At 54.3% G+C, this 25,655-nt stretch overlaps 2 protein-coding genes across 13 annotated transcripts in view, besides 8 other annotated features; both read right to left on the bottom strand.

Moving 5' to 3' along the window:
* Nucleotides 1-9,114, bottom strand: part of DNAJC5 (DnaJ heat shock protein family (Hsp40) member C5) — a 40,886-nt gene extending 31,772 nt beyond the window's left edge. Inside the window, exon 1 of one of the 2 annotated variants that reach the window (XM_047440509.1) lies at nucleotides 7,232-9,114. The gene's annotated coding sequence lies outside the window, so the exon portion shown is untranslated. The remainder of the gene's footprint in view (nucleotides 1-7,231) is intronic. The other variant, NM_025219.3, reaches the window with a different exon arrangement.
* Nucleotides 9,033-9,272: a silencer, noted in NCBI's record as "silent region_13191". NCBI's record gives its function as "represses an Ori minimal core promoter by ATAC-STARR-seq in GM12878 lymphoblastoid cells {active_cell/tissue: GM12878}" and the evidence as "EXISTENCE:reporter gene assay evidence [ECO:0000049][PMID:35858748]".
* Nucleotides 9,272-9,799: an enhancer, noted in NCBI's record as "H3K4me1 hESC enhancer chr20:62525794-62526321 (GRCh37/hg19 assembly coordinates)". NCBI's record gives its function as "activates a minimal SCP1, AML or CMV promoter by ChIP-STARR-seq in naive H9 embryonic stem cells {active_cell/tissue: H9 hESC(naive)}" and the evidence as "EXISTENCE:reporter gene assay evidence [ECO:0000049][PMID:30033119]".
* Nucleotides 9,272-9,901: a biological region, named in NCBI's record as "H3K4me1 hESC enhancer GRCh37_chr20:62525794-62526321".
* Nucleotides 9,732-9,901: an enhancer, noted in NCBI's record as "experimental_61338 CRE fragment used in MPRA reporter constructs". NCBI's record gives its function as "activates a minimal promoter by MPRAs in K562 erythroleukemia cells, with activity observed for both the introgressed and non-introgressed 20:62525777 or rs73151756 variant alleles {active_cell/tissue: K562}" and the evidence as "EXISTENCE:reporter gene assay evidence [ECO:0000049][PMID:34662402]".
* Nucleotide 9,816: a transcriptional cis regulatory region, noted in NCBI's record as "Neanderthal adaptively introgressed variant 20:62525777 (GRCh37/hg19 assembly coordinates) or rs73151756 in the experimental_61338 CRE". NCBI's record gives its function as "modulates activity of the experimental_61338 enhancer by MPRAs in K562 erythroleukemia cells {active_cell/tissue: K562}" and the evidence as "EXISTENCE:reporter gene assay evidence [ECO:0000049][PMID:34662402]".
* Nucleotides 12,702-25,655, bottom strand: part of TPD52L2 (TPD52 like 2) — a 26,269-nt gene continuing 13,315 nt past the window's right edge. For 4 of the 11 annotated variants that reach the window (NM_003288.4, NM_199359.3, NM_001243891.2 and 1 more), the window contains 3 exons: nucleotides 21,420-21,521; nucleotides 15,002-15,050; nucleotides 12,702-14,390 (listed from right to left, as the gene is read on the bottom strand). In NM_003288.4, the coding sequence (NP_003279.2) occupies nucleotides 14,295-14,390; nucleotides 15,002-15,050; nucleotides 21,420-21,521 (247 nt within the window). In that variant the 3' untranslated portion in view covers nucleotides 12,702-14,294. Of the gene's footprint in view, nucleotides 14,391-15,001; nucleotides 15,051-16,634; nucleotides 16,677-18,197; nucleotides 18,225-21,419; nucleotides 21,522-25,655 lie in introns of all 11 variants that reach the window. The other 7 variants (NM_199360.3, NM_199361.3, NM_199362.3 and 4 more) reach the window with 5 other exon arrangements.
* Nucleotides 17,838-18,008: a silencer, noted in NCBI's record as "fragment chr20:62517585-62517755 (GRCh37/hg19 assembly coordinates)". NCBI's record gives its function as "represses an EF-1alpha promoter that drives an FKBP-Casp9 reporter gene in an ReSE screen in K562 erythroleukemia cells {active_cell/tissue: K562}" and the evidence as "EXISTENCE:reporter gene assay evidence [ECO:0000049][PMID:32094911]".
* Nucleotides 22,430-22,599: an enhancer, noted in NCBI's record as "experimental_61302 CRE fragment used in MPRA reporter constructs". NCBI's record gives its function as "activates a minimal promoter by MPRAs in K562 erythroleukemia cells, with activity observed for both the introgressed and non-introgressed 20:62513079 variant alleles {active_cell/tissue: K562}" and the evidence as "EXISTENCE:reporter gene assay evidence [ECO:0000049][PMID:34662402]".
* Nucleotides 23,141-23,310: an enhancer, noted in NCBI's record as "experimental_61295 CRE fragment used in MPRA reporter constructs". NCBI's record gives its function as "activates a minimal promoter by MPRAs in K562 erythroleukemia cells, with activity observed for both the introgressed and non-introgressed 20:62512368 variant alleles {active_cell/tissue: K562}" and the evidence as "EXISTENCE:reporter gene assay evidence [ECO:0000049][PMID:34662402]".

The raw sequence follows: 25,655 nt of genomic DNA, 5'->3' as shown, positions 1-25,655 counted from the left end.
GTGCTTATTCTTCAATATTATACCTTTATACTCGAGAATCTAAAAAACTGTTTAAGACCCACCCTGCATGGCTGTCCTGGGGATTACGGCTAATGCATATTCGGCAACCTTGTCCCAGAACACCTGTTCAACAAACCACGGTTTGCCTCATTTCAGAGTGTTTTGCTATTTGGACACGGGGTATTCTTTTTCATCCCCCACTGCAACCTCCGCTTCCCAGGCTCCAGGGATCCTCCCACCTCAGCCTGACCTCAGCCTCTCGAGTAGCTGGGACCACAGGCATGCACCACCACGCCCAGCTAACTTTTGTATTTTCTGCAGAGATGGGGTTTCCTCATGTTACCCAGGCTGGTCTCAAATTCCTGAACTCGAGAGATCTATCCACCTCAGCCTCCCAAAGTGTTGGGGTTACAGGTGTCAGCCACTGCACCTGCCCAAATTTTTGTATTTTTAGTAGAGACGTGGTTTCGCCATGTTGGCCAGGCTAGTCTCAAACTCCTGGCCTCATGTAATCTGCTTGCCTTGGCCTCCCAAAGCACTGGGATTACAGGCTTAAACCACTAAGCCTGGCCAAAAATGTTTTTAATTTTTTAAAAATTTCTATACGAAGAGCCTTATTAAAAGTTTGAGATGGGCCGAGCGCAGTGGCTCACACCTGTAATCCCAGCACTTTGGGAGGCCAAGGTGCGCAGACCATGAGGTCAAGAGATCGAGATCATCCTGGCCAACATGGTGAAACCCCGTCTCTACTAAAAAATACAAAAATCAGCCGGGCGTAGTGGCGCATGCCTGTAGTCCCAGCTGCTACAGAGGCTGAGGCAGGAGAATCGCTTGAACCCAGGAGGCGGAGGTTGCAGTGTGCCAAGATCGCACCACTGCTCTCCAGTCTGGTGACAGAGACTCCATCTCAAAAAAGAGAGTTTGAGGTGAGTCAGTGAGGTGGTGCGTGCCTACAATCTCAGTTACTGAGGGTTAGGGTGATTCTAATCTACTGAGACTGTAGGCATGCACCACCTTGGGAGGCTGAGGCAGGAGGATCGAGCCCAGGAAGGCCAACCTGGGCAACATGTGGAGGCCCCATCTCTACAAAAATTAAAACATTAGTCAACTGTGGTGACACATACCTAAAGTCCCAGCTACTTGGGAGGCTGAGATAGGAGGATTGCTTGGGCCTGGGAGAATGCAGTGAGCTAAGACTGTGTCACTCCTCTCTAACTTGGGTGAGAGACAGAGTGACACCCTGTTGTAAAAAAAACAGGATGTGGCAGGGCGCGGTGGCTCACGCCTCTAATCCCAGCACTTTGGGAGGCCGAGGTGGGCAGATCACGAGGTCAGGAGATCGAGACCATCCTGGCTAACACGATGAAATCCCGTCTCTACTAAAAATACAAAAAACATTAGCTGGGCGTGGCGGCGGGTGCCTGTAGTCCCAGCTACTCGGGAGGCTGAGGCAGGAGAATGGCATGAACCCAGGTGGCAGAGCTTGCAGTGAGCCGAGACTGAGTCACTGCACTCCAGCCTGGGCGACAGAGCAAGACTCTGTCTCAAAAAAAAAAAAAAAAAACAAGATGAGGCCAGGTGCGTTGGCTCACGCCTGTAATCCCAGCACTTTGGGAGGCCGAGGTGAGTGGATCACCTGAGGTTGGGAGGTCGAGACCAGCCTGACCAACATGGAGAAACCCCATCTCTACTAAAAATACAAAATTAGCTGGGTGTGGTGGCACACGCCTGTAATCCCAGCTACTCAGGAGGCTGAGGCTGGAGAATCACTTGAACCCAGAAGGCAGAGGTTGCGGTGAGCCAAGATCACACCGTTGCACTCCACCAGCCTGGGAAACAAGAGTGAAACTCCGTCTCAAAAAAAAAAAAAAAAAAAAAAAAGATGAGGCCAGGAGCAGTGGCTCACGCCTGTAATCCCAGCACTTTCGGAGGCCGAGCTGGGCGGATCACAAGGTCAGGAGATCGAGACCATCCTGGCTAACACGGTGAAACCCCATCTCTACTAAAAATACGAAAAATTAGCCGGGCGTGGTGGCGGGCGCCTGTAGTCCCAGCTACTCGGGAGGCTGAGGCAGGGGAATGGCGTGAACCCGGGAGGCGGAGCTTGCAGTGAGCCGAGATCGCGTCACTGCACTCCAGCCTGGGCGACAGCACAAGACTCTGTCCCCCACCCAAAAAAAAAAAGCATTATTATTTTAAAGAACACATCAAGAAAGAACTAACAAAATTTATTGCGACTGGCAAAAATGTAAAATCTCAGATTTTAACAGCTAGTCCTATCGCAGCAGCTAAAAGAACACCAAAGTGCTGTGGTAAAAGGCCCCGCAAGCAAAGGGGAAAGACAGACACCATCTGAGGGCTACGAACTTGGCAAGAGATGACAGAAGCTACAGTCTGTACTCCTGGACCCAGAATTTCCTTCGTTATTTGTCTTAGGGAAACCTTCTTACAATAAAACACAATCCTATTTAATAAAGAAAAATCCGATGGGACTGCTCAGCAAAGATCCAAACATTCGCTCTGCTGCTAATCCCTCCCAATAACAGGAGGAGCAAAATAAAAGCCAGGCAGGGCCGCACACTCCACACACTCCCTCTGCTGAGCTGCAGTCACTCCTCCCGTCAGGCACCTGCAGCCTCGTCCGGGGTAGAGGCCTCTGGCCTGGGCTCGCCTCCACTCTGAGACTGATGTGGAGCGCGCGGACGCAGCCTCTGGCACCTGAATTCAGCTCCTGCTTCTTCAAGGGTCAAGAGTAAGACGGGATATTTTCGTTCTGCAGTTTCACTAGAACACATTTCCACCCTACCTGGTGAAAAAATAGAGGCACAGGGCAGGGAGAGCTCTCCCCGAAGTCAGCCGCGCTCTAGAGACAGCAAGGAGGGCAGGGCACAGCCGATGGGGCTGGGAAGTCGATTCCATCTTCCGACCTGCCAGCATCATGATTTCATAACAGGCACAGAATGCCTCAGAACGCAGATTGAGCACAGTGGCTCATGCCTGTAAACCCAGCACCTTGGGAGGCCAAGGTGGGTTGATTACTTGAGTTCAGGAGTTTGAGACCAGCCTGGACAACATGGTGAAACCCCATCTCTACTAAAAATACAAAAATTAGCTGGGCGTGGTGGCACACGCCTGTAATTCCAGTTACTCAAGAGGCTGAGGCAGAAGAATCACTTGAACCCGGGAGGTGGAAGCGGCAGTGAGACACGATCGTGCCACTGCACTCCAGCCTGGATGACAGAGCGAGACTCCGTCTCAAACAAACAAAGAATCCCTGGACACAGCAATGCAGACACTACATGGCTCTGGACACTTCACCTCGTAAATGATTATTTCTGCTGGTGATACATGTTCAATGTAGAATATTTAAAGGGACAATACAATTATAAACCCATGAAAAATAAGATTCATTCACATCCATATTCAAGGAATCTTCACTAAGCACTCACAACACAACACAAAAATTTAAAAATGTCACTCAGGTTTAATATGTCAAGAATAAATGACAAAGTTCTCTGTCATAGAAATAAGTTTTTTGAAACCATTCATGCAAAATGTAGAATGATGTTGCAACAAAGTTAAATTGTGGCATATGCAGGTCTGTCCTGAGGAGGAAATTATTGATCAATACAGAACTTCCTTTTTTTTTTTTTTTTTTTTTTTGAGACAGTGTCTTGCTCTGTCGCCCAGGCTGGAGTGCAGTGGAGCAATCATGGCTTGCTGCAGCCTCAGCCTCCCAGGCTCAGGTGATCCTACCACCTCAGCCTCCGAGTAGCTGGGACTACAGCTGCATGTCACCATACCCGGCTAATTGTTTCTAGTTTTAGTACAGATGGGGTTTTGCTATGTTGCCCAGCCTGGTCTTCACTTCTGGACTCTAGCAATCCGCCTGCCTCGGCCTCTCAAAGTGCTGGGATTACAGGCATGAGCCACTGCACCAGCCCAGAATTTTCAGAGACATGTCCCAAACCTGGTCTAAGTACTTCTTTCTTTAGAAAATGAGATGCTGGTTGGACGATCACTTGAGTCCAGGAGCTCAAGACCAACTTGGGGCTGGGCTCAGTGGCTCACGCCTATAATCCCAGCACTTTGGGAGGCCAAAGTGGGTGGATCACCTGAGGTCAGGAGTTCAAGACCAGCCTGGCCAACATGGCAAAACCCCATCTCTACTAAAAATACAAAAATTAGCCGGGTGTCATGGCAGGCGCCTGTAATCCCAGCAACCCAGGAGGCTGAGGCAGGAGAATCACTTGAACCTAGGAGGCAGAGGTTGCCATGAGCGGAAACCGTACCGTTGTACTCAAGCCTGGGTGACAGAGTGAGACTCCGTCCCCCAACCAAAAAAAAAAAAAAAAAAAAGCCCAGGCGCAGTGGCTCACACCTGCAATCCCAGCACTTTGGGAGGCCAAGATGGGCGGATCACAAGGTCAGGAGATCGAGACCATCCTGGCTAACACCGCGAAACCCTGTCTCTACTAAAAATACAAAAAATTAGCCTGGCGTGGTGGCGACCGCCTGTAGTCCCAGCTACTCGGGAGGCTGAGGCAGAAGAATCACTTGAACCCAGGAGGCAGAGGTTGCAGTGAGCCAAGGTCACGCCACCGCACTCCAGCCTGGGTGAGAGAATGAGACTCCGTCTCAAAAAAACAAAAGAAAATGAAATGCTGTCCTAATTTCTGCAATTTCAATTTGAAATATCAATGCTTGCAAAACTCATACAAGTTAAAACAATTTTTATTTCTAATGACCTGTATCTATTAAATGTCTGTGATGTACCAAGAATAAAGCAGAACACACTTCCTCATTAACACACATGCACCCAAAGTTAATGCAAAGGGTGATGAGAGACAAAATCTACACTCAAGGTTGTTGGGTAATCTAATCCTTAAATCTTCTGGGTTGAACTGCCTGTGACTGATAACAGACTAGCTGCTAATCCTCTTCAGGGATGTCATTATCTGAGGGGTCCTGGCATGGCAGTCCCAGCTCCTAGATTAGGGGTGGCATTTTCATAAAACAAGACTATTACTGTTTTTCAGCCTCTTTGTCCCTTCTATTTAGGAAGCAGGTGATGAGACACCTTTCATTTACTGCCTCCTTTTTTCTCCCAGCAGGACGCAGGGGAAGCACCACTACCCTCATCTGACAGAACGCAGAGGCTCAGAGTCACAGCGGCCCCAGTCACGTGAGCCCTGATCTTGTCCTCTTTCACGAAGGAAGGCCTAGCACAGATTCTGCTGCCACAGTGGGAAGGCCTATGGCGGGGCAGGAGGTGTGTCTGACAGAAGACGGTGCTTCTTGGACACATCTCAGGACTTTGTGGCACGAGAACGTTCTAATCAGAACATCACGATGAGTCTCACCTTAGAAGCACTGCAGTTTGTTTGTTTGTTTGTTGTGAGAGGGAGTCTCGCTCTGTCGCCCAGGCTGGAGTGCAGTGGTGCTATCTCAGCTCACTGCAACCTCTGCCTCCCGGGTTCAAGCAATTCTCCTGCCTCAGCCTCCCTAGTAGCTGGAATTACAGGTGCCCGCCACCACACCCAGCTATTTTTGTATTTTTAGTAGAGACAGGGTTTCACCATGTTGGCCAGGATGGTCTCGATCTCTCGATCTCAAGATCTGCCCGCCTCGGCCTCCCAAAGTGCTGGGATTACTGGTGTGAGCCACCGTGCCCGGCCTAGAAGCACTCATTCTAACTGCCCACTTGGAGATAACTGGAGTGTTAAGGGTCTCTTCTCTATGTCTTGTGCAGGGCTAGCCACCATGTTCCATTTCTCTACAAATGGCTTTTTCCAACCCAGCCCGAGGACCCAGGGGTCTGTTTCCTTCCTGGAGAAATACTGCTTTCATTTGCTGTTACAGTTTACCTGCAGCATTACATACTCCTAACTGGGTATCACATTCACCTTACTGCCTGATTTCAGAAGCAAACTCCACCTCAGATAAAATTCTACCTTATCATGACTCCCCGCCCCACTGCATTTTAGTCATTCATTCAACAAACACCAACTGCTAACCCCAGGCACACACGTGAGCACCTCACATCTGGGCTCTAAGGATAAAACCACCAGCACCTTGTACAGGGCTCTTCCTGGTGATGCCAAATACTTAGAAGAAACCTGGTCTAGAGAAGACTCGAGTTCAAGTTCCAGCTCTGACGATTGTTAACAGGGAGACCTTGGGCAAAGGTGCTGGTCACGGAGGCAGCTGTACAACCAGGCTCAGTGGTATCCACCCTCCAAGCAAGGGGAACTGAGGAAAAATGCCTGAGAAACGTGCAGCGTCTGTTCAATCTCTGAACCACGTTAATACAACCATCTTCAGGGATGCAGGAAGGCCCTGAAGCCCACTCACTCTGAGTTAATGTAGGCATGAGGTGGAGGCTGTGGAAAGGACTCCAGAGTCTGCAAGTCACCAAGCAGCCTCTGTGGCTCTGTCACAGCACCACAGCTGAAGGGCCTCATGCTAAGGGGATCAGCCACAGTCACTCTCAGGCAGTCCTCCTGAATTAAGAGCCAGGGAGATCATTCCACCTCACTCTACTTAATTACCAAATGTCACGACGGAGTATAAGGACTAGCATGTAGGGTTTTTCCTGGTAATCAAAGACAAAATTTCTAAAAGCATTATTACCACTGGCAGATCTGACTTTTTATTTATTTTTATTTATTTGAGACTGAGTCTTGCTCTACCACCCAGGCTGGAGTGCAGTGTGGCGTGACCTTTGCTCACTGCAACCTCCACCTCCCAGGTTCAAGGGATTCTCCTGCCTCAGCCTCCTGAGTAGCTGGGATTACGGACGCCCACCACCACAACCAGCTAATTTTTATTTTTATTTTTTTTATAAGATGGAGTTTTGCTCTTTTTGCCCAGGCTGGAGTGCAGTGGCGCGATCTCGGCTCACTGCAACCTCCGCCTCCTGGGTTCAAGTGATTCTCCTGCCTCAGCCTCCCTAGTAGCTGGGATTACAGGCACACGCCACCACACCCAGCTAATTTTGTATTTTTAGTAGAGATGGGGTTTCACCATGTTGGCCAGGCTAGTCTCGAACTCCTGACTCCAAGTGATCCGTCCGCCTCAGCCTCCTAAAGTGCTGAGATTACAGGCATGAGCCACTGTGCCCCCAACAGATCTGACTTTTTAGAAACGTTTTAACTTCAAAATAATTATAGATTCAAAGTTGCGAAAAGATTTACAAGGGTCCCATGCACCCTTCCAAGCCACCCCTTACCTGGCTGTCTTTCCTCATTGGGCAGGTGAGAGATGGTGGCTCTCTGTCCTGAGGGCCAACACTCCAGGAACCCTTACCTCTACATGCTCAGTCCTCACCGACAAGGACTTCCGGGTGACAAGGCCAGCACCACGCACAGCTGCTGCTAAGCTCCTCACGTTCATTCACTGAACAAATATTTACTGGGCCCCGATCATGTGCCAGCAACTGTTTTTTTCACAAAACATTCTCTCCACGGACCTTACTAACTCACAGTAAAATATTAAGTATGATAAATGCATTAAGCAGGACACTAGGAGGATTCAGCGCTGTGGGAAAATTAAGCGAGGAAGGGAACTGGGTGGCAAGGCAGGCAGGCAGTCGCCAGGCTAGGGGGTTAAGGAACCAGGCATTCCAGGAAGATCCAAGGACAGAGCATGTGGCTCTGTTCAGAACTAGCAAGGAGGCTGATATGGCAGGTGCAGAGTGAGTCAGGGGCCAGTCTGAGGGTGGGTGGACTCAGACGCTGCAGGCTCATTAACACCCTCGCCAGGGGTGTCCCTCAGAGTCCACACAGCCAGCAACCAGAGCGGGCCCCTACAGCTCTCTGCTGGGCCAGACGCCAGCTGGAGCCACCCCGAGTCCTACAGCACCGACACAAGTGAAAGGGGAACTCAACCGAAACTTCCCCAAAGCCCTTAGATCCAGGCTTCTAATTTCATCTCTTGTTTGACAGACTACTCATTCCTGAAACTCAGCTGACATTTTTTTAAAAAGAGAAGCAAATAAACGAACATAAAATCTCAGAAGCTTTGAGTAAACTTTTGCCTTCAGGTAACCATGACAATAGTGGGAGCAATGTAACTGTTTTTGTCATTAGAATAGGTTTTTCTAAACAGGCAAATAAGGGCAGACGTGTCTAACCACCATCAAATCTTCCCAACCAAGCCTAAGCCGGAAAACAAAAATAAAGCTGAAATTTTTGCTTCCTTTTCCTGTATGACACAACTGAATGAATTTGAGAAATCATGGCTTCGGCACACGAAAAAGAGAGTCTTTAATCCAGACACTTAACACCAACAAGTTAGAACCTGAACGGACGAGTTCCTAATACTCTCCTTAAGAGTTCAATATAAAGCATGGCTTCAAATGTTTTTATAAAGCGGAGAAAACAGGTTTTTTCTAACAAACCAAATGCTTTTTGGAATTTACAACGTCGGAAAGATTAATTTACGATGCGTTACAGAACAATTTTCAATTCCCCGAGCTATAAACACAACGACCCAGGGACTAAATTATCTGCCTCCCTAAGACCAGCGATGGCCCAGCTTCTCCAGTCCCCCCGCAGGAGAGGAGACCCCGGGGGGTTGGGGGCGGCCGCGGGGACCTGGGGGAGCGGAGGGGGCGTCCGGGCCCGAAGAGACCCGCGGAGAGCGCCGCCCCAGCCCCCACCACGGTGCTCAGACCCCCGGCCCGGCCCGGCCCGGCTCCCGCAGGCCCCGGCGCCGACCTTCCCGCGCCCCCGCCCCGGCCCAGGCCGCGGCGTCGCAGCAGCTCCGGCCCCGAGCGCCCGCGCAGCCCCGGCCCGGGGGTCGCCGCCATTTCCGGCTCTGGAGTGCCGCCCCCGCCCCCCACCCGCGCCCGCCCGCCCGCCTGCCCGGGCCTGACGTGGGCCGATCCGCCCGCCCGACCCGCAGCGAGCTCACCTGCCCGTCCGCCCGCCCGCCCGCCCTCCCGCCGGCTCCGCGGCTCCGCTCCCCGATTCGCGGCGCTGCTGGGCAGCGGCCGACGCACTCCTCAGCCTGGAGACCCCGGGCGGCGGCGGCGGCGGCGGCAGAGGGCGCGGGTGCGGCACCGGCAGCGGCAGCGGCAGCGGCAGCGGAGACGAGCACGCTCACGCACGCACCCGCACCGGCGCGCGCGCTCCCGGAAGGACGTGGGCTCCGGCGTGTCGGAGCCGCGGGTGGGACCGGCTGCGCATGCGCTCAGAGAGCCGAGCGGAGGCTCCGTCCATGAAGGGGCGGAGTCCCGAGTGACAGCCCGGGGCCGAGGCGCCCTGTGGAGGCTCCGCCCATGAGTGGGCGGGGACGAAGCGCGGGGGCGGAGCCAGTCCTCCCAGTCTTCAGGTGGCCGCAGGTGGGTCCCGGGTGGACACGCCATGTGCTGCGGGGAACCGCGCAGAAAGAGAAGCGCAGGGCTTGCTGGTCTTGCAGGTGAGTTTACTCAGCGCTTTAAGTAAGACTGAGAAAACGTAATCGTTCTCATCAAAGAACTGAACAGGGAGCTGGTGGGAGACGGCTGCGGACCGTCGCCCCCGCCCCCACCCGGAGCCACCGTCCTGGGACTGACATTTGCTCAACCCTGGAGCGCCGAGATGGGACGTCCTTCCTTCCTTCCTGTCCAACCACTGAAATGCCGTCGCCAGCGCCCTCCCACCCTCCCGGAATCATCTCCAAACAGCAGCGTGGAGAGGCAGGACCACGAACGTCCACTCCACCTCCCTCTGCCCTTGCCCATCCCGTCGGCCACCCTTCCCTGTCCCTGTAACTGCAGGCGCTCCGCCACTCACTGACGGCCTGCCCCGCGTAGGCTGCCTGGGCCACTTCCCATCCTAGAAGCTCCCAGACCTCTGCGGCCGGTGCTCCTGCCTCCTCGCTTCCACCCTTGCCCGTTTACCTGAGTTCAGTGCGGTCATCTTTTTAAAACAAACCCAGTAGCATCCAAGGCTTCCCGTGACACACTGCGTGAAACCCAAATTCTCTCTCAACACGCTCTGGCCTCCTTCCTCTGCCCTCATAACTCACTGCCATAATGCCGGTCTTGAATTGCCAAGCTTGTTCCAGTCTCACAGCCTGGAAGTGTCAGAGCTTGGGAAGCCTCCTAGCAGTCATTAAGCTGCGCAACATCAAGCAGGCAGCAAGAAAAGGCCTATGGAACCCAAGAAGCAGAAAGGCCAGGTTCATATCTACAACTATAGATTCCAAGAGAATGAAATATTTCAGGCCAGAATTGGAGGGATGAGAGAATGAAATGGGCCTGGTACCGATCTCAGATTGAAGCTATATTCCACTTGTGCTGGGAGCTGCAAGAATGAATGAACCAGCCTTAAGTGAGTCCCTCTGAGACCTAGCAGTTCCACTTTAGGGACATTCTTCCAAAGAAAATATTCCTAAATACAGAAAAAGGTATATGCACTGAAATATTCATGAAGGCACTATTTTTAATAGCGAGAATGGAAACCTGCCCAACTGCACAAGTGAGCACTCAAATGGAATAATATAGTTACTGAAATGTATACAACGGGACCCATGGCTCACGCCTGGAATCTCAGCACTTTGGTAGACCAAGGCAGGAAGATCACTGGAGCCCAGGAGTTTGAGACCTGCCTGGACAACATAGTGAGACCACCATCTCTATAAAAAAAAATTTTTTTAATTGGCCCGGCCACAGTGGCATGCATGCCCCTGTAGTCCCAGCTACTCAGGAGGCTGGATCGGGTGGGAAGTCAAGGCTGTAGTGAGCCATGATTGTGCCACTGCATTCCTGCCTGGGTGACAGAGCAAGACCCCATCTCTTATTTAAAAAGAAGAAAAAAAGAAAGATAATGTGTAGAAAGGCTACACAGGAGCAAAGAACTCCTGAAACTAAAATGAGCACGATGCATGATATGTAAAAAGTATATTATCACACATATATCTATCCATGAACATTCCAGCCTGCTTGGAGAAAATAAGACAGGAAGGTACGCCCGGGCACAGTGGCTCACACCTGTAATCCCAGCACTTTGGGAGGCCGGGGTGGGCGGATCACCTGAGGTCAGGCGTTCAAGACCAGCCTGGCCAACATGGCAAAACCCTGTCTCTACTAAAAATACAAAAATTAGCTGGGCGTGGTGGCATGCCCCTGTAAATCCCATCTGCTCGCGAGGCTGAGGCAGGAGCATCGCTTGAGCCCAGGAGGTGGAGGTTGCAGTGAGCTGAGATTGCACCACTGCACTCCAGCCTGAGCGACAGAGTGAGACCCTGTCTCAAAAAAAAAAAAGAAGACAGGAAAGTTGACAGTGGCTACAGTTGGGAAGAGTCTGATGTTTACCTCTGATACATCAGGCCCTGTGCTAAGTGCTTTATAAGGTTAAGCCTTTCAATATGATGAGGCAGATACCATTACCCTCACTCTGAGAAGAGGGGACTGAGCCTTCAGGCATTGCTGCCCGCTCCTCAGGTCCACTTACTCCACTTGCTCCATCCTCGAAGCTCTCCAAGCGCTTCACCTCGTCAAACACAAGCCAGTGACTTAGGGGAATCTGTCTTCCCCAACAAACGGGTTGCAAAGTCCTTGAGCACTGGGTCCACATCAGATTCACCCTTGTACCCCACAAAACCTAGCAGACTCTTACCCGCAGGGCAGTTACAGTATCTGTTCAATAAATGAAGAACACATGAACTCATTCCAAAATAAATTAGTGTAAATCTTGACTGCAGGCGGCAATAGTGCATTTCACCCTTTATTGGTACCAGCTCCCTGCTGTATTGGGGCTTATGTACCATACAATTCGAGGTCACCTAACTTTCCCTGCTCTTACATCTGGGGTGAGCCCAGCTACCTCTGACCTCCAAAGGAAGACTGGTGCTCCCACTAGTTTTCCAGTGGGAACTCCAAAGACTAGGAATGGATACATGCAAAGCGCCAGACCAGGGGCAGAGTGGAGGTTCCCCCTCAAGGGTCTTTTCCTTTTTCTTTTTCTTTTTTTTTTTTTTTTTTGAGACAGAGTCTCGCTTTATCGCCCAGGCCGGAGTGCAATGGCGTGATCTCGGCTAACTGCAACCTCCACCTCCCGGGTTCAAATGATTCTCCTACCTCAGCCTCCTGAGCAGCTGGGATTACAGGTGTGAACCACCACACTCGGCTAATTATTTCACTTTTTTGTAGAGTCAGGGCCTGGCTACGATGCTCAAGCTGGTGTCAAACTCCCAGGCTCAAGTGATCCTCCCATCTTGGCCTTCCAAAGTCCTGAGCTTACAGACATGAGCCACCACACCCAGCCTACTGTTTTTAGTTGAGATGGAATCCCGGTATGCTGCCCAGGCTGGTCCTGAACTCCTGGGCTCAGGTGATCTGCCTCACCCTCCAGAATGGCGGGGACTACAGGTGTGCTCAGCAGCAGCTCAGTGCTTGCAGGGGCAGCTGGCGAAGCCTCTGGAGCTCCCGGCCCAACCTGGAGCCTGGTGAGCTCCTCCTCCGCCTCCTGGGGCTCAGTTTCAACTCCTCTTCCCAAGACGCTGGGTCTGACCTCACAGGTTGGCCATATACCATTCTCCCCTCACAGCTGGCTCCCCTTGTCCCAGCATTGAGGACCTGCCCTTTGTCTTTAGCACTGTCCCCTGCCTGCCTCTCCCAAGGGTGCGGACTCATTAGGGCAGGTACCGTGTGCCAGTTCATTTACCACTCTTATCATGGTCCCGAACGATACATCACACAAGCCGAGGCGGACTTTCCCCCAAAGGAATGCTTTATTGACAAATTACCCATTATTATAATAACTTTAAGGAAAAGATACATCGGTCAACACCCGCACAACCTGCCTTCTCACCACACCCCACAGGCCGATTTTAACCCTGGACGAAGGGCACCGAGCGCTGGGCTTCCCTGGCCCCTGCATCTCTGTCGTGTGTGGAGTGCCATCCCCAAGGGTGTCTGAACTGTCCGGGGACACGGCTGTCAGAGGACACTTGCTCTACCGAACAGGACACCTTGAGCTGAGCAGCCCTTCCCCTCCCGGGAGTGGCAGAGCCGGGCACACCACAGGCAGGCCCTCAGTGTCCTGCCAAGAGCCACTAAGGCACAGAGCTCCCCCTGCAGACCACGCCATCTGACATGCAGGGCCCCGGTGTGCGAGAGAGGCTGCTGGGGTGCGACTATTTAGTAACAGGAAGAGATCTTTGTAGCTCCTGAGAAAAAGACTGTAACGGCAATCCTGGCTGATGCCCACGCCCCACCCTCCACCTGACCTGTGGGGTCGTTTCATCCCAAGTACAGCAAGCAGGAGGGTTGGAGTCACTGACGAATGTGAGCCGGGCCAGGCCCATGCAAAGGCAGCACTGAGAAGGGGGGCACAGTTCTTTTAAAGGGTGCTAAAGACAGGGTTTTCCTTCTCTTGGCCCCTCCCATTCCCAGAGGCTCAAGAGCCCTTTAGGGCAGGGCATAGGAGCCAGCGGGAGCTGCCACGGTTGAGAAGAGAAGCAGGTTTTGTACACTGGGATGGAGTGTGCGTGACATAAAACACCTCAACTGGAAGAGGCTGCCACGCAGGCCAGGTGTAAAATTCCACACAATGCTCACAACCATTAAGGAACCCTCATCTATATACATATAAAAATTAGAAAGAAATAAAGCATAAGGCAATGTAAGGCTTGTATTTCAGCTTGAGTCCAAAGAAATAATATTCTATGAGGCTAAAGCTGCTTTGCCTAATTTAAACTTTTTGAAAAGTCCACTGCATTTAAAAAATAATGAATTTGCTTCCGTTAAAGCTAGATTCGCGTAACAATCAGGCAGCTGCTGAGGGTCAGTTTCCTTTCTGGGGGTCTCAGAAAATGGACAGTTTTCTCGTTCGGCATTTTGAGATAAAAAATTGCGTAACAGGTAGGACTTGCTGGGTGATTGCATTCCTTCTGTGAGTCAGGGAAGGAGGAGGAGGAAGAAGTCAGAAAATGCCACTTATTTTATGCTTAGAACTCTTCAATCCTTCAACATTCTGATGGGCTAACATGATTCCCAAAGGGAGCCTGGGCTTTGGCTCAATATTCTTTCAAACCCTCCGCCCTGTCCACTTCCTGCACCCCTAGGAAGGACAGCACAGTGATCTGTTTCATCTACAAACGTGAGTGTAAAACATCTGTGTACAAGCCTGTGTTCTTCAAATTCATGCAAACGCGGCAGCCACATCTCCGCGTGGATGGGCAGGACTGTCCTCAGGGCCGGCTCTGCTCATCCGCCCTGGCTGGCTGCTCCGCTGAACAGAGCTGCGGCTGTGATGCTGAGGCTGGGTTGCGTGTGCTCTGCAGCGGGTGAAGCAACCACAGGCTTAGAAAGGTGCGGGATCCGACAGGGGCTTGTCACCACTCCCCGCTGAGGAAGGGAGGTTGTCACTGCCGTTCTCTCTGTCACCCACAACCTTAGACTACAGGAGAGAAAAGATGAAGACAGAAAAACCTGAGACAGAGCACACAACACAAGGCAGATCCCAGGCCCATGCTCAATGCTCTACAAAAGCTTATGTAACACGAACACTGCTCAGCAGGGACAGGGAGCAAATCACGGACGGGCACCAGCCCCAACAGGTCTCCAGAGAACGATGCCAAATGAAGACAGTGAATGCCAAAAAGCTGCACACTGTATCGTTCCATTTACGTGACATTCTTGAAATGACACAATTATACAAAGGGAGAGTGGACTAGGGGTTGCCGGGGGTAGGGCGGGAGGAAGGTCAGCATGGCCAAGAAGGTACCAGGAAGGGCAGTGGGGACCAGGAAGGGCAGTGGGGACCAGGAAGGGCAGTGTGGAGGCGTTCTGTGTCCTGAGTCAGTGCCAATGTCCTGGTGGGGAGGCTGCACTACAGGATTTTCCAAGATGTCGTCACAGGAGAGAACTGTGTAAAAGGCACAAGGAACCTCTCTGCATTACTTCCCACAACTGTATGTGAGTCTACCATAACTAAATGACTAATAATAAACAAGTTGCTGTAACAGGTCACACCTTGCCAAGACCATCAAACAGTCCAGGTACAATTACCTTTATGGTCCCAACTCGGTCCTCAAACGACTTGAAGGTCGCAGAGTTCCTTTAAAGAGAGAGGGAAGAGTGTCGGTGTCAAGAGGAGAGGGTTGTGCTGCTCTCCTAACTCGGAAGGGCCTCAGGGTTAGGGCCAGCCTCCAAAGGGTCCCTAACAACATCCCAAGATCTCATGGCAAAACTGTGAGACAGCCAGGTCATTCCGGAGACTCCCCAGGTCAAAAGTGAGGTCGGCCATGCCCAACAACCACAGGGACAGGTCCAGACGTCACACAAGGCAACTGGAAACCCCTTGACTGTGCAGCTGGGGAGATGTCGGCCCCTCTCTGTCATACCCTACAGGGACATCCCGGGCTCTCGTACTGAGGTTATGAAAAGTCTGTGCAGTTGGGGGGCTGTCGGCCCCTCTCTGCTGTCCCCTACAGGGACACCCCGGGCTCTCGTACTGAGGTTATGAAAAGTCTGCGCAGTTGGGGGGCTGTCGGCCCCTCTCTGCTGTCCCCTACAGGGATACCCCGGGCTCTCGTACTGAGGTTATGAAAAGTCTGTGCAGTTGGGGGGCTGTCGGCCCCTCTCTGCTATCCCCTACAGGGACACCCTGGGCTCTCGTACTGAGGTTATGAAAAGTCTGCGCAGTTGGGGGGCTGTCGGCCCCTCTCTGCTGTCCCCTACAGGGATACCCCGGGCTCTCGTATTGAGGTTATGAAAAGTCTGTGCAGTTGGGGGGCTGTCGGCCCCTCTCTGCTATCCCCTACAGGGACACCCTGGGCTCTCGTACTGAGGTTATGAAAAGTCTGCGCAGTTGGGGGGCTGTCGGCCCCTCTCTGCTGTCCCCTACAGGGACACCCTGGGCTCTCGTACTGAAGTTATGAAAAGTCTGTGCAGTTCTTCATGCACATCTCTCAGAGAAGCAAACGGAAGACCAAGGACACTTCTGGGACAGCAGAGTGATAAGGAGACAAGAGGAGAAAGCAGGCCAGCTCCATCCCACTCAGTCCCTCCCACACAAACAGATACCCCTCCCAGGCCCGGGGACTCTAGAGGCCAGCACGTCTGCGACACCCAGCCAGAGTCCCCACAAGGAGAACAGGGCTCTCCTGAGAATCAGGGCGGTGCCTGACGGCGCAGGCACAGAATAGGGACCACAGTTCTGGGCTCTCCTGAGAATCAGGGCAGTGCCTCACGGCACAGGCACAGAATCCTGAGAATCAGGGTGGTGCCTGACAGGCACAGAATAAGGACCACAGCTCTGGGTGTTTCCGTGAAGGCTGAGACCGTGAAGTGTCCTGAGTGACAGCCCACCAGGGCAAGTGCCAGGATCTGTGTGCGAGCCCCTCGAACCCCACCCCACCCACTGCAGGCAGCCAGGGTCAGGACTTGGAAAGGACACGGCCCAGTTTGACACAAGGATCTCCTCTGGAGGCTGCAGGTGAAGAGCCTGACCCCCTACCAGCTCTTCCTCGTCAGCCTAGAGGGGGTTTTTACCGGCCCTTAGTCATCAGAGGTTGCCAAGGGAATGGAGTCCTCAATTAATCCAGGAATATGGGAAGGGCAAGGTGTAACCGGCGGGAGCTGCCCCAACCCCCACCAGAGACACCCGGCTCTGGAGCCGCAGCGAGCAGGCATACATTACCTCATGGCTGGCATACTTATTGAGTGGCGGATGGAGTAGCTGCTGCTTGGAAGCATGGCAGAAGCAGAGAAGGAAGCAAGAGTTAACACCAAGATCCACACACAACCCCAACTTGGCAGGGATGGGCAGAGCTGGGATTCCCCCACTCCCAGCAGTTGGAGCGAGCTGCCTGCCCCTCCACACAATGCCCCCGAAGGAAACTCGACCCCAGGGTCCTCCCTTGGCCTCATGGGGGGCACCCCAAGTTGCCCAGCGCATAGCACTGGGAGGGGGGAGAGCACTGCCATAGGAAGCTGTGAGGAGACCAGGCTTGGGCTTTTGAAAAGTATTTGGTACAAACAGCCTTCAGAAGTCAAGTAAGGACCTTTTGGCAAAAGAGAAACCACCAAGTCAAGTAAAAACACAAGAAATCACAGATTGTTCTGGGCCTGGCTCTAGACCTCCCGGTTCCAGCAGAAGGGCACGTGCTGGCGGCGCCCCGGCTTGGCCTAGAGGAGCTTGCTCTGGTCTGCAGGAGGGCCCTTTGGGAGGCACACCTATGGGCTCTCGGGTAGTAAACAAGACAAAACTCCATCTGAAGGAAAACAAGGAAACAGGACAGATGTTGAACAGGAAGGTGGTGAGAGTCGGCACAGCCCTCCCACGTGAAAAGGCTCCTTTGAGGGCCCGGCGCAGTGGCTCACGCCTGTAATCCCAGCACTTTGGGAGGCCAAGGCGGGTGGATCACGAGGTCAGGAGATCGAGACCATGCTGGCCAACATGGTGAAACCCCGTCTCTACTAAAAATACAAAAATTAGCCAGGCGTGGTGGCTCATGCCTGTAATCCCAGCTACTCAGGAGCCTGAGGCAGGAGAACCGCTTGAACCAGGGAGCTGGAGGTTGCAGTGAGCCGAGATCACACCACTGTGCTCCAGCCTGGTGATAGAGCGAGACTCCAACAAAAAAAAGAAAAAAAAGGCCGGGCGCGGTGGCTCACGCTTGTAATCCCAGCACTTTGGGAGGCCGAGGCGGGCGGATCACGAGGTCGGGAGATCGAGACCACGGTGAAACCCCGTCTCTACTAAAAATACAAAAAATTAGCCGGGCGTGGCGGCGGGCGCCTGTAGTCCCAGCTACTCGGAGAGGCTGAGGCAGGAGAATGGCGTGAACCCGGGAGGCGGAGCTTGCAGTGAGCCGAGATCGCGCCACGGCACTCCAACCTGGGCGACAGAGCAAGACTCCGTCTAAAAAAAAAAAAAAGCTCCTTTTCAGGAGTAAACTCAGGCCTGGACGCCAGGCCAGTTATTCACAGACCCGGCAGCAGGCGGTCTGTGAGCCTGAAGGGAAGCACGAGGAGGGGACACAGAAGGGCCGGGGGGTTCCGGGGGGCCTCTGCGTCGATCCCACGCTGCTGCTTTGTTCCCTGAGATGCAGCAACCACCTGGCTGGCACTGCTGTCCTGGAAGGGGTGATCCCACTTTCACTGCCCTCTACTAGCACAGCCGCCCAAGGGCCCTGCCGGAGTCCACCCTGCCCCAATTCAGAGAAAAGTCTTCCACAGGTGTGTCCAGGCTCAGCCTTACCTAAAGGAGTGTGAAAATGGATGAGCCCTGGAAGGTGGCAGCAGGAGAGAAGAGGAAACGAAGTGTAAGCAAGGGAGGCCAGCACCCACTCACAGCCCTCCTCGGGGAGCCCCAGGGGAGGCCCCCTGCTCGTGCTCAGTCAGGCCCAGCAGGGGAAGACCCTCCAGGACGGCTCCTCCAGTCCGCACACCACCGGGGACAGCAGCACTGTCTCCAGTCTCCTCAAGTCCTGACTCAACAGGAGGCTCTCGCAAGATCATGACTAGCAACTGCTCAGCCTCACGGCTGTGCCCAAGAGGCCCCTGGGTCCACGCCCTGTCCACGCCTTATGCCCCAAGGCACACCTGTTTGGAGAAGCCACAGCACCTGGAGCACAACCAGCCCCATCCAGCAGCGCAAAGGTGTGAAATGTGCCACAGCATGACAGCTGGGCTTGGCCAGCTCCACAGAACGAGAGCGGCCCGTGTTCCCCAAATCACGTCAGCTGAGGGAGCACACGCACCGTGGGAGGATGTGGGACACCCTTGGCGCCGAGCATTTCTGCTCTGCGCTCCATCCGTGCCCACAGACGCCAACCTGGAAACCTGTGTGTCCAAGGGCAGCTGCTGCCACTCACTGCAGCCAGGCCCACTCTGACATGGAGGGAGCCACTGAAGAACTGAGAAACACTCAACTCGCCCGAGGTCCTGAGAGGGCCGATGCCTCATCTGAGACCACGGAGTCAGACGGTGACCTGACCCTGCTGTAAACCCCCACTCTGACCTGAATCCAGTTCCCTTCCTCCCATCCCCATCACCCATGCCCCAGGGCACACCAAAGGCCTCACAGACCGGGGCTGCCCTGGGACAGGCCCATCATGGACACGGGCGTTGGGCAGCTGTCCAGAGGGGCTTCCGCCCAAGAGTTAGCAGGGGTCCGCCGGGGTTCATCCAGCCCTAAACTCATGACATAAACCTCCCAGAACCCAATTTTCACTTTCAGGAAGTAGTGAGCTCTCAACCTCAGTCTCTAACTCGAGGTGAATGGGCCCAGACCTCAGAAACCACCTGTGACTGCTTGGGGAGATGATGGGGATACACCAGGGGCTCCAGACGTCAGAGTTCCCACCACCACTACAAACATAAATGGAGGAGCAAGCAGGGCAAGACACACCAGCAAACAGGACCCTCCACGGGCACCGTGAACACGGCCAGCCAACTGGAGCGAGCTGGCTCGTCCCAGGTCAGCCTGAGGCCCCGCTCCCCCAGCTGGCCCCATGTACCAGGGCACACGTGCAAACACGTGGCACAGTGTGGCTGGGCACACTGACAGCTGTGCCAGCGTCACTGCAACAGGAACTCTGCTCACTGCCAGCCATGCCCTGAGGCTACACGACACGGGTCAGCTGCCAACCCCAGGACTGAGCAGAGAGCGAAAGCCTTTCTCCCCATCAGAGAAGGAGGAGCAGACAGAGAACCAGGACCGTGTCCCTGTGCTTCCAGAGAAAAACAGGCCATACAAACAAATGCCCAGATCAAAACCCTAGGACTGGCTTGTGCACGGCTATTCCAATCAGTGCCAAGGGCTCCACGTGCCCCTTGGATTTCCACCACAATGGTCTGAACAAACTCAAAAGGGAGTGTGGACACTAAGAGTGGGCAAACGCCTCCTGATGGCCGGCATAATTTAGGCACAACAAACACCTGTTACTTCCTGAAGATGCTCTGTGGTGAGACCAGCATTTTCGGGAAGAAAACAGCCCTGCGAGGCTGAGTTCAGCTGAAACTCAGGGGGTCCCTCCTGGGTCCAAAGCTCAGCAGTGGTAGGGAAGACCTGCATTTGTAGGGTGCCCCACAAGGACCCCCCCAAGTCACAGCTGCTGGGGAGTGTGGAGCCTTGGGCGTGTGAGGGTGCACAGAGGAAACACACACATTGCATACTGATGACTGCAGCTTCTCCAGAGGTTTAAAACTTCTCGAAATAGAAGTTGCAGGGATGGGAAGGTAGATTACCTCAAAAAAACAAAAATAAAAGTGGGCACAGCTCCTGGGCAGTGGCCATCCCCTCTGCTTGGCAGGGTGGGTCCCTGGGTGTGTGTGGCCGTCTGTGTCCTGGCCTGTGGCTTAGTGGTCAGGGGAAAGCACTGGCGCAGGACGACCCCCACCTGGCAACCACAGGCGGGGAGGCAGGACACACCTAACCTAAGGCAGGCAGGCAGGGAGGCAGGCAGGCAGGCAGGCAGGCAGCCCAGCAGGAGATGTACGTATCTCTGAATCCTGCAGGGGCCACAAGAGGGGAAGAGGGGAGGGCTGGGTGGGGTCAGCACTGTGCTCCACACACCGGTCCTTTAGGAAGCCTGCACCCATCTTTGCCAGGATTGGGTCAGAGCTACAGGGAGGCACTCCCTGAGATCCAAAAGCCAGAAGACCAGTTCTGAGAATGGGAAAGGGGTCAGGGCAGGGTGGGCAGCAGCACCCAGAAGTTGGGGCCAGGATGCTGTTGATGGTGACAACCTATATCATCCACTCCTACAACCCCTGTGAAAGAAGGCGTGCCTGAGGCCCAGCTGGGGTGCCCAGCCAGGAGGTAGCCCAGCCAAGCATCATACCCAGGCTTCTGGCTCAATCCCCTCATCACCATGCTGTAGTCAGGGAGCCTAGAACAGGGAAGGAAGAGCAAACATGCCAGCCACAAAGCGCCGGCCCCCTGCTCACTCCTTGGCCCCAGCCCTGCTTGCTGAGGGACCTCTGATGGCCAGGAGGCTTTCACCAGCCTCTGGGAGAGAAGGCTCATTCAGGGCCTCCTGGCGTCTGACTGCACTTTCTGAGACCTGGGAAACAGCCTGAGGAAGTACCACGCCGAGCCCCTGTCCTAGAGATGGTGGAGGACTGCCGTCCCACACTGACCTGACTCTGACCCCTGGGCTGGAGTCGCTGCCACTCAGTGAAGCTTCAAGGTGCAGACTCCTCCCTCACCAACCCCGAGCACCACAAGTTACCCAACAGCACTGGCAGCCAACCCTCCCTGAAGAACACAGCAACGGCAGAAAAGCAGCCAACGGGGATGGACGAACCTCCCAGGCAAGGGTCTGCACACAGACTGGTCGGGGCCATGATGGATGGCCACATCCCTGAGCCAGTGCATCTGAGCCCTGATCTCCAGGCAGGCTTCCTGTAGCACCTCCAACACCTCACCTCACTCCTGGCCAGGTCTCAGGGCAGCAGAGTCAGGGTTGCGTCTCACCTCATGTCTCCAAGCTTCCTGCTGATGGCAGAGCCCACTGTGGACAGGGCAGCTGAAGTCTTCTGTCCTGCCTGTGAAAGAGTTTCCTGAGTCTTCTTGTAGCTGGAAGACACACCAGTTAAATCAACCAGACAGCATGGGCGGGTCACCACCCACAGCCAAGCAAACAAAGCACTGGGAGCACGCCCGAGGAAAACTGAGGAAAGGAGCTGGGCCAAGGGGTGGACACTCGCCAGGTGTCTACAGAGGGGGTGCAGGCCCAGAGCCCCTCGGCCCCCAGAGGCCCCTGCGGCGAGGAGCCGCCTGTGCATTGCTCGCTCACTGAGCTCTCGGCGACCCTGCCGAGTCTCGGCCCCCCAGCCCTGCAATGACGCTGCTTTCTCATCTCACAACCCAATTTCACCCCCTTGCCTGATACCCACTAAGCTCGCTTTCCTGTCTTCTCACAGCCCCTCTGACTACAGAGAACACGCCCCATTTGCCTGCTAGAGCGGACGGGCCCCCTGAGGTGCACGCCTGGCAGGCAGTGCCAGAGCAGAAAGGCCTCTCAGTGCCCTGACCGGCCCATGCGTGCAAGTTTCCCTTTCCTCTTCCCAAATGAGACTGTGCTGAGGGGAGAAAATGCAAGCTCAACCACGTCTGTGGGGAACGAGCGTCACAGAGTGGCCATGCAGCCCGCAAGGTGCCCCTGCTCCAGACGGCGGGGCCCCGTGTGCCTTCAGAACATCGGACAGTTCCATTCCCAGGCCTCTTTTCACAGTGCAAGGGTCTGTCCTGGCCCCTAGTGAAGGCCCCGCTTCTATCCCCTCCAGCTCCCTCCAGTGTCCACCCACATGGGTACATCCCATCAAAGCAAAGCTCTAGGGCCTTGGCGTCTGCAGGACAGGCAAAGGGCAGCAGGCAGGATGCTGTGGCTGCAGGGATACTGTTGGGCCCACCATGACAGTCAACACCTGAAGTCGCTGGCCCTCATCCAGCTGCCACCATAAACACAAAACACAGCAGACTCTGACATAACAAAGTCCAAAATGCGAACCCACAGCCACCTTATCACGGCTCCTCCCTCAGTGAAGCCAGGGAACTCGAGGCTGAATGGAGATGGGCTCCCAGGACCATCTTGGCGTTACCAGTGCCAACCTGGAGAGCTGGCAAACCCAGCCAAGCCCTGAGTGGCATCTGGGATGACTGGCGCCAGAGAAGGCACAGGCTCCTCCTGCTCCCACTGGCGGCACCAGGTCCCAATGATGGGCCTTCCGGAGCCCTTACTCACAGGCCCTCCCACCACTCCCTGCAGAAGGCCCGTGTGAGCTGAGTGCTACTACTCTCCAGCCCCCAAACAGTTGACAAGAGTGTGTGACCCACCAAGTGTGCCCTGGCAGCGCATCCCAGCGCAGCTCTCTCATGCCCGCCCCCGGCCCAAGGCCTACCAGAGGATGCACTTTCTTTCTTTTTTTTTTTTTTGAGACAAAGTCTCGCTCTGTCACTCAGGCTGGGGGGCAGTGGTGCAATTTCAGCTCACTACAACCTCCGCCTCCGGGTTCAAGAGATTCTCCTGCCTCAGCGTCCCAAGTAGCTGGGATTACAGGCACCCACCACCACGCCCTGCTAAATTTGTCTTTTTAGTACAGATAGCGTTTCACCATGTTGGCCAGGCTGGTCTTGAACTCCTGACCTCAGGTGATCCACCCGCCTCGGCCTCCCGCAGTGCTGGGATGACAGGTGTGAGCCACTGCGCCCAGCCCGCTCGGATGACAGGTGTGAGCCACCGTGCTCAGCCCAGAGGATGCACTTTCCCATCCAGGCTCCGTGCAGCTGGAATCATGGCTGTTTTTAAATTTTTTCTTCTTTTATTAATAAAACACCAGTTATAAGTAACTAATGACCTGCTATATTTAGTTTCAAAAACACAAATTCTTTTTTTTTTTTTTTTGAGACAGAGTCTTGCTCTGTAGCCCAGGCTGGAGTGCAGCAGCACCATCTCGGCTCACTGCAAGCTCTGCCTCACGGGTGCACGCCATTCTCCTGCCTCAGCCTCCCGAGTAGCTGGGACTACAGGCGCCCGCCACCACATCCGGCTAATTTTTTTGTATTTTTGGTACAGACGGAGTTTCACCGTGTTAGCCAGGATGGTCTCGATCTCCTGACCTCGTGATCCGCCTGCCTCAGCCTCCAAAAGTGTTGGGATTACAGGTGTGAGCCACCGTGCCCAGCCCAAAAATACAAATTCTGAAGACATCTTTAACCTTGATTTTCCCTGAAATAACAAATGCATAAAACCATGTGAACATTCTGTGGTTCGCTGAAGCAAAGTCACCTGCAGCAGAGGATTCTAAAGCGCTCACAGCACCTGCATTTGTGCCTAAAGAGTGGGGATGGGGAAGCTGCACCTGCATTTGTGCCCTAAGAGTGGGGATGGGGAAGCTGCACCTGCATTTGTGCCTAAAGAGTGGGGATGGGGAAGCTGCACCTGCATTTGTGCCCTAAGAGTGGGGATGGGGAAGCTGCACCTGCATTTGTGCCTAAAGAGTGGGGATGGGGAAGCTGCACCTGCATTTGTGCCCTAAGAGTGGGGATGGGGAAGCTGCACCTGCATTTGTGCCCTAAGAGTGGGGATGGGGAAGCTGCACCTGCATTTGTGCCTAAAGAGTGGGGATGGGGAAGCTGCACCTGCATTTGTGCCCTAAGAGTGGGGATGGGAAAGCTGCACCTGCATTTGTGCCTAAAGAGTGGGGATGGGGAAGCTGCACCTGCATTTGTGCCTAAAGAGTGGGGATGGGGAAGCTGCACCTGCATTTGTGCCCTAAGAGTGGGGATGGGGAAGCTGCACCTGCATTTGTGCCTAAAGAGTGGGGATGGGGAAGCTGCACCTGCATTTGTGCCTAAAGAGTGGGGATGGGGAAGCTGCACCTGCATTTGTGCCCTAAGAGTGGGGATGGGGAAGCTGCACCTGCATTTGTGCCCTAAGAGTGGGGATGGGGAAGCTGCACCTGCATTTGTGCCCTAAGAGTGGGGATGGGAAAGCTGCACCTGCATTTGTGCCCTAAGAGTGGGGATGGGAAAGCTGCACCTGCATTTGTGCCTAAAGAGTGGGGATGGGGAAGCTGCACCTGCATTTGTGCCCTAAGAGTGGGGATGGGGAAGCTGCACCTGCATTTGTGCCCTAAGAGTGGGGATGGGGAAGCTACACCTGCATTTGTGCCTAAAGAGTGGGCATGGGGAAGCTACACCTGCATTTGTGCCCTAAGAGTGGGGATGGGGAAACCGAAGTTGGAGAGAAAACAACCGCCTGTGCCCGGCCTTCAGAATGAGATGTGGGGTCCTGAGCGTGACCTGTGGGTGGGTAAGTACCACCCACACAAGGAGGATCGGAATGAGATGCGGGTCCTGAGCGTGACCTGTGGGTGGGTAAATGCCACCCACACAAGGAGGAGGGTCCTGAGGGTTCCTGGCCACTGACCACTGGCCACTGACACCCGGTGCCACTGTGATCAGTCCCTGCTGTGCCATAAACCACACTCAAGCCCCTGGGGGCCCCACAGCCCTCAGCATTGCTCGGGTGTGGAAATGAGGGGGTCACAAGGGAACCTCCTCTAGAAACAGGAACCTCCAAACTGGGATGGCCCTGGAAACAATGGGCATCACCTGCATAGCCTGAGGCCACCACCAGCGCCTCCCTGGCCTTCTCTTCCTACAGCAGGTCCCTGCCCAACAGCTGTGGCTCTGACCTCTCCCTTCCCCTTCTCAGTCCCATCCTGGGCCTCCAAGGTGGCGGCAGCAGCTGTGAGGCCCCCTTCCAAGGCTCACAGCGCTGCAGGCCTGTTCTGAGAGCGTCAAACACACAGGCACACACATTCCTCAGTGGACCAGAAGGCTGGGTTGTTATTACTCCATGACAGATGGGGAAGCTGAGCCCGGGAGGAAGGGGCAGGGGTCAGAGCCAGCATCTGCACCCAATAACTAGCTTCAGCTCTCCTTGAGAGCACCGGGCCGGGCAACCCCAGCCAGCACCCATTTGGGAGTTCCTAAGACCTTCTAGGAAGAGAGCCCTGGACAGACAGCGGTTTCGTCCCACTGCCAGTGAGCTGTCCCCTGGGCAGCACAGGGCATCTGGGGGACATCCTTGCACTCCCCCTCTCCTGAGTCTGTCTCTGGGGGCTGCCCCCACTCCCACTCAGGATGGACAAGTGATCCAGGCCTGGCCAGAGCACACCACCTCCAAGGCCGCAGCCATTAGTC

This window comes from Homo sapiens, chromosome 20 (genome assembly GCF_000001405.40).
Source record: "Homo sapiens chromosome 20, GRCh38.p14 Primary Assembly".
NCBI classification, from domain to species: Eukaryota; Metazoa; Chordata; class Mammalia; order Primates; family Hominidae; genus Homo; species Homo sapiens.
This window is presented reverse-complemented; position numbering and strand designations above follow the sequence as displayed.